Source organism: Homo sapiens, chromosome 19 (assembly GCF_000001405.40).
Source record: "Homo sapiens chromosome 19, GRCh38.p14 Primary Assembly".
Classification (NCBI taxonomy): domain Eukaryota; kingdom Metazoa; phylum Chordata; class Mammalia; order Primates; family Hominidae; genus Homo; species Homo sapiens.
In genome coordinates this window covers 33025608-33038836 of record NC_000019.10, presented here as the reverse complement: position 1 = coordinate 33038836, position 13229 = coordinate 33025608, and the positions used below count along the sequence as shown (strand labels likewise).

The window sequence follows — 13229 nt, the reverse complement described above, 5'->3', positions numbered from 1 at the left end:
AAAATACAAAAATTAGCCACGCGTGGTGGCACACATCTGTAATCCCAGCTACTCGGGAGGCTGAGGCTGGAGAATCCCCTGAGCCCAGGAGTTCGAGGTTGCAGTGAGCCGAGATCGCGCCATTGCACTCCAGCCTGGGTGACAGAGTGAGACCCTGTCTCTTAACAAAAAGAAAAGAAAATTAGCTGGGTGTGGTGGTGTGCGCCTGTAATCCCAGCTACTTGGGAGGCTGAGGCAGGAGAATTGCTTGAACCAGGGGGACGGAGGTTGTAATGAGCTGCAATCATGCCATTGCACTCCAGCCTGGGTGACAGAGCGAGACTCCGTCTCAAAATAAATAAATACATAAATAATAAATAAATAAAATTTTTATATTTATTCATTTTGAGGCTGGGTCTTGCTGTGTTGCCCAACCTGGAGTTCAGTGGTATGATCACAGCTCACTGCAGCCTCAACCTTCTGGGCTCAAGCTGTCCTCCCGCCTCAGCCTCCACAGGTGTGTACCACCATAGTAGGCTAATTTTTTTTTTTTTTTGAGATGGAGTCTCGCTCTGTTGCCTCCTGGGTTCAAGCGATTCTCCTGCCTCAGCCTCCCTAGTAGCTGAGATTACAGGCACGCACCCCCATGCCCAGCTAATTTTTGTATTTTTAATAGAGAGGGGGTTCACCATGTTGTCCAGGCTGTTCTCAAACTCCTGACCTCAAGTGATCCGCCCACTCGGCCTCCAAAAGTGCTGGGATTACAGACATGAGCCACCACACCTGACTGGCATTCGGCTAATTTTAAAAATTTTTTTGTAGAGACTGGGTCTCCCTATGATGCTCAGGCTGGTCTCAAACTCCAGGGCTCAAGCAATCCTCGTGCCTAGGCCTCCCAGAGTGCTGCGATGACAGCTGTGAGCCACCATGCCTATTTATTTATTTTTTGAGAGGAGGTCTCACTCTGTTGCCCACACTGAGTGTAGCAGTGCAATCCTAGTGTGTCCGGAATTGGTGGGTTCTTGGTCTCACTGACTTCAAGAATGAAGCGACGGACCCTCGCGGTGTTACAGTGCTTAAATGCAGCGTGTCTGGAGTTTGTTCCCTCTGATGTTCGGATGTGTTTGGAGTTTCTTCCTTCTGGTGGGTTTGTGGTCTCGCTGGCTCAGGAGCGAAGCTGCAGACCTCTGCGGTGAGTGTTACAGCTCTTAAGGCGGCACGTCTGGAGTTGTTCGTCTGGAGTTGTTCCTTCCTCCCGGTGGGTTTGTGGTCTCGCTGGCTTCAGGAGTGAAGCTGCAGACCTTCGCAGTGAGTGTTACAGCTCATAAAGGCAGTGTGGACCCAAAGAGTGAGCAGCAGCAAGATTTATTGCAAAGAGTGAAAGAACAAAGCTTCCACAGTGTGGAAAGGGACCAGAGCAGGTTGCTACTGCTGGCTCAGGCAGCCTGCTTTTATTCTCTTAACTGGCCCCACCCACATCCTGCTGATTGGTAGAGCCCAGTGGTCTGTTTTGACAGGGTGCTGATTGGTGCATTTACAGTCCCTGAGCTAGACACAAAGGTTCTCCATGTCCCCACCAGATGAGCTAGATACAGATTGTCAACACAAAGGTTCTCCAAGTCACCACCAGAGTAGCTAGATACAGTGTTGATTGGTGCATTCACAAACCCTGAGCTAGACACAGGGTGCTGATTGGTGTGTTTACAAACCTTGAGCTAGATACAGAGTGCCGATCGGTGTATTTACAATCCCTTAGCTAGACATAAAGGTTCTCCACGTCCCCACCAGACTCAGGAGCCCAGCTGGCTTCACCCAGTGGATCCCACACCAGGGCCGCAGGTGGAGCTGCCTGCCAGTCCGGCGCCCTGCGCCCGCACTCGTCAGCCCTTGGGTGGTCGGTCGATAGGACTGGGTGCCGTGGAGCAGGGGGCGGCGCTCGTCGGGGAGGCTCGGGCTACACAGGAGCCCACAGAGGGTGGCGGGGGGGCTCAGGCATGGCGGGCTACAGGTGCTGAGCCCTGCCCCACGGGAAGGCAGCTAAGGCCAGGCGAGAAATTGAGCACAGCAGCTGCTGGCCCAGGTGCTAAGCCCCTCACTGCCCGGGGCCAGCGGGCCGGACGTCGGCTCCTAGTGCGGGGCCCGTCCAGCCCACGCCCACCTGGAACTCGCGCTAGCCCGCAAGCACCGCGGGCAGCCCTGGTTCCCGCCCGCGCCTCTCCCTCCACACTTCCCCAGAAGCTGAGGGAGCCGGCTCGGGCCTTGGCCAGCCCAGAAAGGGGCTCCCACAGTGCAGCGGCGGGCTGAAGGGCTCCTCAAGTGTCGCCAAAGTGGGAGCCCAGGCAGAGGAGGCATCAAGAGCAAGCGAGGGCTGTGAGGACTGCCAGCACGCTGTCACCTCTCACTAGCCCACTGCAGACCCAAACTCCTGGGCTCAAGTGATCCTCCTGCCTTAGCCTCCTAAGCAGCTGGGACTATACACGTATACCACCATTCCCAGCTAATTTTCATTTTCAAATTTTCTGTAGAGATGGGGGTCTCCCTATATTGCCCAGGCTGGTGTTGAACTCCTGGCCTCAAGTAATCCTCCTGCCTCAGCCTCCCAAGATTGTGCCACTGCACTCCAGCCTGGGCAACACAGCAAGACTCCCGTCACCAAAAAAAAAAAAAAAAATTAATTTTCTTTCTTACTATATTTTGCAGGAATCGATATTATTATCTTTTTTTTTAATTTTTTTTTTTTTGAGATGGAGTCTGGCTCTTTCACCCAGGCTGGAGTGCAGTGGCCTGATCTCTGCTCACTGCAAGCTCTGCCTCCCGGGTTCATGCCATTCTCCTGCCTCAGCTTGCCGAGTAGCTGGGACTACAGGTGCCCACCACCACACACAGCTAATTTTTTTGTATTTTTAGTAGAGATAGGTTTTCACCGTGTTAGCCAGGATGGTCTATATCTCCTGACCTGGTGGTCTGCCCACCTCGGCCTCCCAAAGTGCTGGGATTATAGGCGTGAGCCATGGCGCCCGGCCCGATATTATTATCTTTAAAGCAAAATTGAGGAATGCCTTTGTTCTCCAGATATCGGGATATCTGGACACTCCCAGGTCTGGGTCTGTTTTAGAAAACATTATTAATTTGTTCCCTTTACTGTAAACATTTAGAGGCTAGGAATGGCTAATTTTCTGAGAATGCAGCCCAGCAAGTCTCAGCCTCTTTTTCCAGCCCTCACTCAAAATGGAGTCGCTGTCCTTCGAACGCCTCTGACCTACACCTGTGCTAGCAACGAAGCTCAGACGCCAGGGTTGATTTCTGAATCATGGTTGCACCAAAGGTCAGCATTACAGAAACCAACCCTGAGACCCCACCTGGCTGCCAACAGTTTCAAAGTGACCAACCTAAAGAGGTCTACATCTTAAGGGCAGCTCATTGATTTGTTGGAAATGTATTTAAAAAAAATTTTTAGGCCAGGTGTGGTGGCTCAAGCCTGTAATCCCAGCACTTTGGGAGGCTGATCCTCAAGAATCACTTGAGGCCAGGAGTTTAAAACCAGCCTGGGCAACATGGTGACACCTTGTCTTTACTAAAAATACAAAAATTGGCTGGGTGTGGTGGCTCACGCCTGTAATCCCAGCACTTTGGGAGGCAGAGGCAGGTGGATCACTTGAGGTCAGGAGTTCAAGACTAGCCTGGCCTACAGGGTGAAACCCCATCTCTAGTAAAAATACAAAAAATTAGCTGGGTGTGGTGGCACACACTGTAACTCCAGCTACTTGGGAGGCTGAGGCAGGAGAATCACTTGAACCTGAAGGTGGAGGTTGCAGTGAGCCAAGATCGTACCACTGCACTCCAGCGTGGGTGACAGAGCAAGACTCCATCTCAAAAATACTCCATCTCAAAAATAAAAACTAAAATAAAAAACATATTTGTTTTAGAGACAGGGTCTCACTATGTTGCTTCGGCTGGTCTTGAACTCCTAGCCTCAAGCAGTCCTCCTGCCTCAGCCTCTCAAAGCACTAGGATCATAGGAATGACCCACTTCACCTGGCTTTCTTGTAAATCTTTTTTTTTTTTTTTTTTTTTGAGATGGAGTCTTGCTCTATTGCCCAAGCTGGAGTGCAGTGGTGTGATGATCTTGGCTCACCACAGCCTCCGCCTCCCAGGTTCAAGCGATTCTCCTGCCTCAGCCTCCTGAGTAGCTGGGACTACAGGGGTGTGCCACCATGCCCAGCTAACTTTTGTATTTTTTTTTTTTTTTTTTGAGACGGAGTCTCGCTCTGTCACCCAGCCTGGAGTGCAGTAGCAGGATCTCTGTTCACTGTAAGCTCTGCCTCCCAGGTTCACGCCATTCTTCTGCCTCAGCCTCCCGAGTAGTTGGGACTATAGGCGCCCACCACCACACACAGCTAATTTTTTTGTATTTTTAGTAGAGACAGGGTTTCACTGTGTTAGCCAGGATGGTCTTGATCTCCTGACCTCGTGATCTGCCCACCTCGGCCTCCCAAAGTGCTGGGATTATAGGCATGAGCCACCGCGCCCGGCCAACTTTTGTATTTTTAGTAGAGACGGGGTTTCACTGTGTTGGCCAGTCTGGTCTCAAACTCCAGACCTCGTGATCCGCCCACCTTGGCCTCCCAAAGTGCTGGGGTTACAGGCGTGAGCCACCGCGCCTGGCCTTGTGGCAAATCTTAAATCAAAAATTGTTGCCAGGCCGGGCGCGATGGCTCACACCTATAATCCTAGCACTTTGGGAGGATGAGGCAAGAGGATTGCTTTGTCTTAGCAGTTTGAGACCAGCCTGGGCAATATGTTTAGACCCCTGACTCTATTAAAAAAAAAAATGTTTTGCCAAGATGGGAGGGGGGAGACATGGCAAATTTATATATAAAGGTGGAAAAATAAAGAGTTGGCATTACGTGGAAGCTCTCTAGGGATTTTGGTGGGGTTCTTAGGGTCTCAGTTTTTATTTATTTTTATTTTATTTTATTTTTTCTTTTTTGAGACGGAGTTTCGCTCTTGTTGCCCAGGCTGGAGTGCAATGGCGCGATCTCGGCTCACCGCAACCTGTGCCTCCCGGGTTCAAGCGAGTCTCCTGCCTCAGCCTTCCAAGTAGTGGGATTACAAGTGCCTGCCACCATGCCCGGCTAATTTTGTATTTTCAGTAGAGACGAGATTTCTCCACGTTGGTCAGGCTGGTCTCCAACTCCTGACCTCAGGTGATTTGCCCACCTCGGCCTCCCAAAGTGCTAGTATTATACGTGTGAGCCACTGTGCCCGGCCTATTTTAATTTTTATTTTTTTTGAGATGGAGACTCGCTCTGTCGCCAGGCTGGAGTGCAGTGGCGTGATCACTGCTCACTGCAATCTTCGCTTCCCAGGTTCAAGTGATTCTCCTGCCTCAGCCTCCCGAGTAGCTGAGAGTACAGGCGTGTGCCCCCATGCCCAGATAATTTTTGTATTTTTAGTAGAGATGGGGTTTCACCATGTTGGCCGGGCTGATCTTGAATTCCTGACCTCAGTTGACCTGTCCACCTTGGCCTCCCAGAGTGCTGGGATTACAGGTGTGAACCTCTGTGCCCAGCCTTAGTTTTTATATTTAAGTCGAACCTACTGTGGTACTAAGCACCAATCAGCTCCCTCACTGCCTAGAGGGAGTAGTCTTCACTCTGTCATTTGTTCTTCCATGAACTAAAATTTGTTCAGCGCCCCCATGATGTGGAAAGGGCTATGCCAGATTCTAGGAAAAAAATACCAAGAGAAAGAAGGCTTGTCCTCTAGGAATTATAATTGAATTATAATTATTTATCTTCCCTCATTTTAAAGTAGATTTGAAGTACCTTAACATATTCATACAACATGTAAGATTAAATCAGGAGTGAATGAAGATATGAAGGCAAGAGAAAGAAGAATAAAGGAGAGATTTAGCTGGAGGTAAGGCTAGTGCATGCCACAAAGTCCTCTATACTTTGTGAAATGTGAGCCATGGTTTGTCTCTGAGCTTCCTGGCAGGCAATAGGAGGAAGGGAATATATTTGGAACACATTTTATATTCACTAGACAAAAGGAATCCCATTTGTAAGAAGAAATGAACCCATTCCTGATACTGAGGGATGGGAGGATTCCGCCCCCACCCCAATCCTTGTGAACATTATCAGCTACAGGATCAGTCGTTTTCTCAATAAGCTCTTTGTAGCACAGGTTTTACAAGCTGCAGATTGTGACCTGTGGTGTGTAATGACATCAATTCAGTGCTTTGCTGTGGCATAATAAAAGATAAATATTTGGTCTTTGTCCTGTTCCTGTGTTCCTGGCACAGAGCTCCTGAGTGATAAAAGTATCTTTTGTATGCTAATGAGATCACTCTTGGTGGGAGGCTTTAGAATGGATGCTGATCCCCAGAAAGCACAAGCCATGGTGAGAGGGCTGGAAATTTCAGCTCCTCCCTACACCACCTCTGGAGAAGGGAGAGAGGCTGGAGATCGAGCTCAGTCACCAGTGGCCAATGATTTAATCATCTATACGTAATGAAGCCTCCATAAACCCTGCATTAGGCTGGTCACGGTGGCTCACGCCTATAATCCCAGCACTTCGGGAGGCCGAGGTGGGTGGATCACCTGAGGTCAGGAGGTGGAGACCAGGCCAACATGGTGAAACCCCGTCTCTACTAAAAATACAAAAATTAGCTGGGTATGGTGACAGGCTCCTGTAATCCCAGCTACTCGGGAGCCTGAGGCAGGAGAATTGCTTGAACCTGGGAGGTGGAGGTTGCAGTGAGCTGAGATCGCACCACTGCATTCCAGCCCGGGGGAAAGAGTGAGACTCTGCCTCAAAAAAAAAAAAAAAAAAAAAAGACCGGCCCGGTGGCTCACGCCTGTAATCCCAGCACTTTGGGAGGCTGAGACAGGTGGATCACGAGGTCAGGAGATCAAGACCATCCTGGCTAACATGGTGAAACCCCTCTCTACTAAAAATCCAATAAATTAGCCGGGCGTGGTGGCGGGCGCCTGTAGTCCCAGCTACTCAGGAGGCTGAGGCAGGAGAATCACTGTCCCAGCTACTCGGGAGGCTGAGGCAGGAGAATCACTGGAACCCGTGAGGCAGAGCATGCAGTGAGCCAAGATCACGCCACTGCACTCCAGCCTGGGCGACTCCATCTCACACACACCCACAAAAAACCTACGTTAGCCAGGCGCAATGGTGCATATCTGTAGTTCCAGCTACTCAGGAGGGTGAGGGAGGATCACTCAAGCCCAGGAGCCCAGGAGTTGGAGACCAGCCTCGGGAATATAGCAAGACACCATCTATACAAAAAAATAAAATAAGGCTGGGCGTCGTGGCTCACGCCTGTAATCCCAGCACTTTGGAAGCCTGAGGCAGGCGGATTGCTTGAGCCCAGGAGTTGGAGACTGGACTGGGCAACATGGTGAAAAAATACAAAAATTAGCCGGGTGTGGTGGTGCATGCCTGTAGTCCCAGCTACTTGGGAGTCTGAGGTGGGAGGATCATTTGAGCCCTGGAGGGCAAGGCTGCAGTAAGCCATGATGTGCCACTGCACTCCAGCCTGGGTGACAAAACAAGACCCTCTCCCAAAAATAATAGAATAGAATAGAGTAGAATAGAATAGAATAGAATAGAATAGAATAGAATAGAATAGAAAGAATAGAATAGAATAAAATTCTGAACGATGAGGTTCAGGGAGCTTCTGGGTTGGTGAACACATTGAGGTGTCTGGAGTGAGCATGGAAGCCCTGCCCCTCTCCCACCATAACTTGCCGTGTACACCTCTTCCAATTGGCTGTTCCTGAATTGAATAACATAAACCAGTACTGGTCCATCAGGTGCTTTCCTATGTTCTGGGAGTCTTTCTGGTGAATTACCAAACCTGAGGAGGTGGCAGTGGGAACCTTTGATTGACAGCTCATCAGTCAGAAGCACAAGTATCCCCCTCTCTCCCAGGATGTGTGACTGGTCCCTAAAATGGGGGCAGCCTTGTGGGACCGAGCCCCTACTCTGTGGGGTATGTGCTTACGCCGGGAGCTGGGGTCAGAATCGAATTGAATTGTTGGATACCCAGTTGGTGTCAGATAATCAGAGAATTGGAGGGTTGCAAACATAATTGTGTTTTAAAAAGAAGTTATTAGAGTAGACTAGACTATGCTGGAGTGGATCACGCCTATGACTTCTGTGAGACTTTTGTTGCAGGGGCATGTGTCTGTGTGTGTGCATGCATGTACTGAGTTGTAAAATAAAATGTATTTCTTTTTTCTTTTTTTTGTGATGGAGTCTTGCTCTGTCACCCAGGCTGGTGTGCAGTGGTGCGCTCTCAGCTCACTGCAACCTCCACCTCCCGGGTTCAAGCGATTCTCATACCTCAGCCTCCTGAGTAGCTGGGACTACAGGCGTGTGCCACTATGCCTGGCTAATTTTTGTCTTTTTAATAGAGACGGGGTTTTACCATGTGGCCCAGACTGATCTCGAATTCTTGGCCTCAAGTGATCCGCGTGCCTCGGCCTCCCAAAGTGCTGGGATTACAGATGTGAGCCACTGCACCTGGCTTAAAATGTATTTCTTACTGGTGCCATAGCCATACACACACAAACATCTCTAAATTGATGAAATTCATCAAGCTGAGCCTCCAGTATCTTATTTTCTGGGGCAGTCCAAATGTGCGTGTGTGTGGACTTCCAGGGCCACAAGAGGAAGAGTGTTGTCACACGTGGTGAGGGCAGAGACTTCGATTTTACGAGTGTTCTCACCATTCCCAGACTGATAAGATTGACTCACTGTGCCTGAACTGTTTGTACAAATGGTGTGGTTTATGTGGAACCACTTGCCTTCCTTCTGGGAATCCAGAATTTTGGAGCATGCTAGGCAGAGGTGCCTATGCTATCAGCCCCCAGTAAAAACCCTGGACACGGAGTCTCTGAGCTTCCCTGGTAGATGGCATTTTACGTGTGTTGTCACAACTCTTTGCTGGGGGAGTTAAGCACGGTCTGTGGGATTCCACTGGGAGAGGACCCCTAGAAGCCTGGGCCGGGCCTCCTCCCAATTTCACCCCATGTGCCTTTCCCTTTGCTCATTATGCTTTGTGTCTTTTGCTGTCGTAAACCATAGCCATGGCTTTTGCAAGTCCTCCTAGATTAACACTGAACTTGGGGGTGGTTTTAGGGACCCTGACGTACCTATGGATGTCAACCTGCTTTAGCGCTATTTGTTGAAACAATAATCTTTTCCACATTGAATTGATTTGGCACTTTTGTTCAAAATCAATTGTAAAGATTTACTACATAAATGTAAACATTTATTCCTGGACTCTTCTTCTTTTTTTTTTTTTTTTTTCTGAGATAGAGTCTCGCTCTGTCGCCCAGGCTGGAGTGCAGTGGTGCTATCTCAGCTCACTGCAAGCTCCGCCTCCTGGGTTCACGCCATTCTCCTGCCTCAGCCCCCCGAGTAGCTGGGACTACAGGTGCCCACCACCATGCCCAGCTAATTTTTTGCATTTTTAGTAGAGACAGGGTTTCACTATGTCAGCCAGGATGGTCTCGATCTCCTGACCTCGTGATCCGTCCGTCTCGGCCTCCCAAAGTGCTGGGATTACAGGCGTGAGCTACCACACCCGGCCTATTCCTGGACTTTTATTCTGATTCATTGCCTATCTTTATGTCAGTACCATGCTATCTTGATGACTATGGCTTCTTAGTAAGTTTATTTTTAATTTTTTTTTTGGGGATGGAGTTTTGCTCTTGTTGCCCAGGCTGGAGTGCGGTGGCGCGATCTTGGCTCACTGCAACCTCTGCCTTCCGGGTTCAAGTGATTCTCCTGCATCAGGCTCCCGAGTAGCTGGGATTATAGGTGTCCGCCACCACTCCCAGCTAATTTTTTGTATTTTTAGTAGAGATGGGGTTTCACCGTGTTGACCAGGCTGGTCTTGAACTCCTGACCTCAGGTGATCTACCCACCTCAACCTCCCAAAATGCTAGGATTACAGACGTGAGCCACCATGCCCAGCCCAGCTTTTTAGTAAATTTTAAAATCAATTGTCTTCCAACTCTGTTCTTATTTTTCAAAATTATTTTGCCTATTGTAGGTTTTTTTTGCATTTCCATATGAATTTTAGGATCAGCTTGCCGATTTCTATTAAAAAGGTTAGTGGGATTTTGATTGAGGTTGCATTGAATGAATGTACCAACTAAGGAGGCTTGATATCTTGACAATAATGAGCCTTCCCATCCATAAACATAGAATAGCTCTTCTTTTAATATATCTCAGCATTGTTTTGTAGTTTTCAGTTTACATGTCTTGTGATTCTTTTGTTTATTCCTGAGTATTTTATTCTTTTTGATGCTATTGTGAATGGAATGGTTTTCTCAATTTTAAGATTGTTCATTGCTAGTATATAGAAATAGAATTGGCCAGGCACAGTGGCTCATGCCTGTAATCTCAGCACTTTCGGAGGCTGAGGCAGGAAGATTGCTTGAGCCCAGGATTTCTGGGCCAGCCTGGGCAACATAGTGAGACTCCATCTCTACAAAGAAACACAAAAATTAGCCAGCGTGGTGGTGTGCACTTGTAGTCCCAGCTCCTTGGGAGGCTGAGGCTGGAGGATGGCTTCAGCCTGGGAGGTTGAGGCTGTAGTAAGCCATAATGGTGACATTGCACTCCAGCCTAGGTGACAGACTGATACCCTGTCTAGAGAAAAAAAAAAAAAAAGAATTGATTTTTGTATATTGATTATGCCCTGTGACCTTGCTAAATTTATTAGTACTAATATTTGTTTTATGGATGCCTTAGGATTTTCTATATATAAGATAGTGCCATCTGTAAATAAAGACAGTTTTATTTCTTCCTTTCTAATCTGGATGCCTTTAATTTCTTTATTTGCCTCATTGATTAGAAATAGCAAAAGTGGGCATCTTTGCCTTGTTCCTGGTGAGAAGAGGAAAGCAGTCATTCACCACTAAGTGTGATGTTAACTGTGGGTTTTTGTAGGTGTCTTTTATCAGATTTCATAAATTCTCTTTTATTCCTACTTTGTTGAGAATTTTTATTATGAATCTGTGATGGATTTTGTCACAGTGTTTTCAATATCTGTTGAAGTCACCATGTGTTTTTTTGTCCTTTATTCTGTTAATATATTATATTATATTGATGTTCAGATGTTAAACCAACCTTGCATTCCTGGGATAAATCCCACTTAGTTATGGTGTACAATCCTATTTATATGTTGCTAGGCTTGGATTGCTAATACTAGTCTTACAGAATGAATTGGGAAGCATTACCTCTCCCTTCATTTTCTCATTCATTTATTTTATTTTACTTTCTATCTTATATATTTTTATATTTTATTTCATTTTATCTTATTTTAGCTTTTAGAGACAGTGTCTTGCTCTGTCACCCAGGCTGGATTGCGGTGGTGTGATCATAGCTCACTGCAGTATCAACCTCCTGGACTCAAGCAATCCTCCTGCCTGGGACTATAGGCATGCACCACCATGCCCAGCTATAATCATCCATTTCTTTCTTTTTTTAAAACAAATTTTATGTTTATTTATTTATGTACTGTGATTTCTCCCACCGAAAGGAATCATTCATTTCTTTTTTTTTTTTTTTTTTTTTTTGAGAGGGAGCCTTGCTCTGTTGTCCAGGCTGGAGTGCAGTGGCATAATCTCAGCTCACTGCAACCCCTATCTCCCAGGTTCAAGCCTCAGCCTTCTGCATAGCTGGGACTACAGGCATGCACCACCACACCCAGCTAGTTTTTGTATTTTTTAGTAGAGACAGAGTTTCACTATATGTTGGCCAGGCTGGTCTCGAACTCCTGACCTCAGCTGATCCACCTGCCTCGGCCTCCCAGAGTGCTGGGATTACAGACGTAAGCCACCATGCCCGGCTGGAATCATTCATTTCTTTTCAAGTGGGTATCTTATGGTATTTTAGGGCATGGCTGGGAGCAGTTTTGTTTTCTCTTCTCAAGACTGAGTGTTTGCAGGATGTCATAGAGTTCATGTCTGCAGCTCACAGTGTCATTGCCTGTGTCCCCAGCTCCACGTACTGGCAGGTGTGCTGCAAGCTGGGTAGGTGCCCTGTGTCCCTGGGATACCTTAACCGACACTCCTGGCCCTCCTCTGCAAGCTGTGCCCTGATCCTCCCTGCAGGGACTGGGGATTGGGTCTGCTCACCTAGAAGCCAGGATACCTGGCTGAGGGCACTTCTCTCCCTCTTCTCTTTGAACAGAGTGGCCACAAACTCAAAGGTGCGGGAGCAAGTGCGGCTGGAGCTGAGCTTCGTCAACTCAGACCTGCAGATGCTCAAGGAAGAGCTGGAGGGGCTGAACATCTCGGTGGGCGTCTATCAGAACACAGAGTAAGTGGGAGCAGCACACCTTCCAAAAGCCTCTGAGCCAGAGATCCTTCGTACATCCAGGGTGCTGCACAAAGAGGTCAGATAGCGTTCTAGACTGGGGTGTGGCAGCCCCCACTTTCGGAAGTGAGAGAACCATCAGGTTTGGGGTTGAGTGAGGTGCTAGACTGGAAGGGATGAGCCCATTTGTTGGGAAATACCTGCAGTGTTGGACAAAAAGGCATTTGTGAGGCCGGGCACGGTGGCTCACTCCCGTAATCCCAACACTTTGGGAGGCTGAGGCGGGTGGATCACCTGAGGTCAGTCTGGCCAACATGGTGAAACCCCGTCTCTGCTAAAAATAAAAAAAAAAATAGCCAGGCGTGGTGGTGCACACTTGTAATCCTGGCTTCTCAGAGGCTGAGGCAGAATTGCTTGAACCCGGGAGTTGGACGTTTCAGTGAGCCGAGATCACACTACTGTACTCCAGCCCGGCTGACAGAGCAAGACTCTGTCTCAAAACAAACAGACAAAAAAAAAAAAAAACAAATGAACACAGTATAAAATCTAGTGTAAATATACGTGATGAGCCAAGATAAGTTTAAAAGTTAGATGCCTTGGATTTTATAGTTAATTTTCAGTAATTCCGCGTAGTCACATTTCATAGACACGCAAACATTAGCAAGATATGTTATTAAATTCAACTGAACAGACATTAAGCAAGGATATTTTAGTGGGTCACCATAACTTTCCTAAGAAATATTAAAGGGACATTGTTAGGACAATACCTTTCCAATGTTGGCTAATTATTTCCTCATTTATTTGCCAAGGAACAAAAAGCATACACAAATACTTTGGGATTAAGGCCAAAGGCCAAAATTGACCCTGTAAGGGGAGGCCACTATGCACACACAGAGATT

The 13229-nt window shown here is 47.7% G+C and overlaps 1 protein-coding gene across 1 annotated transcript in view, besides 1 other annotated feature; it reads left to right on the top strand.

Moving 5' to 3' along the window:
* Window positions 1-13229, top strand: part of RHPN2 (rhophilin Rho GTPase binding protein 2) — an 86297-nt gene that overhangs the window by 26052 nt on the left and 47016 nt on the right. The window contains exon 3 of the mRNA NM_033103.5: window positions 12205-12333. Coding sequence (NP_149094.3) covers window positions 12205-12333 — 129 coding nt within the window. The remainder of the gene's footprint in view (window positions 1-12204; window positions 12334-13229) is intronic.
* Window positions 5898-6769: an enhancer, noted in NCBI's record as "OCT4-NANOG-H3K27ac-H3K4me1 hESC enhancer chr19:33522974-33523845 (GRCh37/hg19 assembly coordinates)". NCBI's record gives its function as "activates a minimal SCP1, AML or CMV promoter by ChIP-STARR-seq in naive and primed H9 embryonic stem cells {active_cell/tissue: H9 hESC(naive and primed)}" and the evidence as "EXISTENCE:reporter gene assay evidence [ECO:0000049][PMID:30033119]".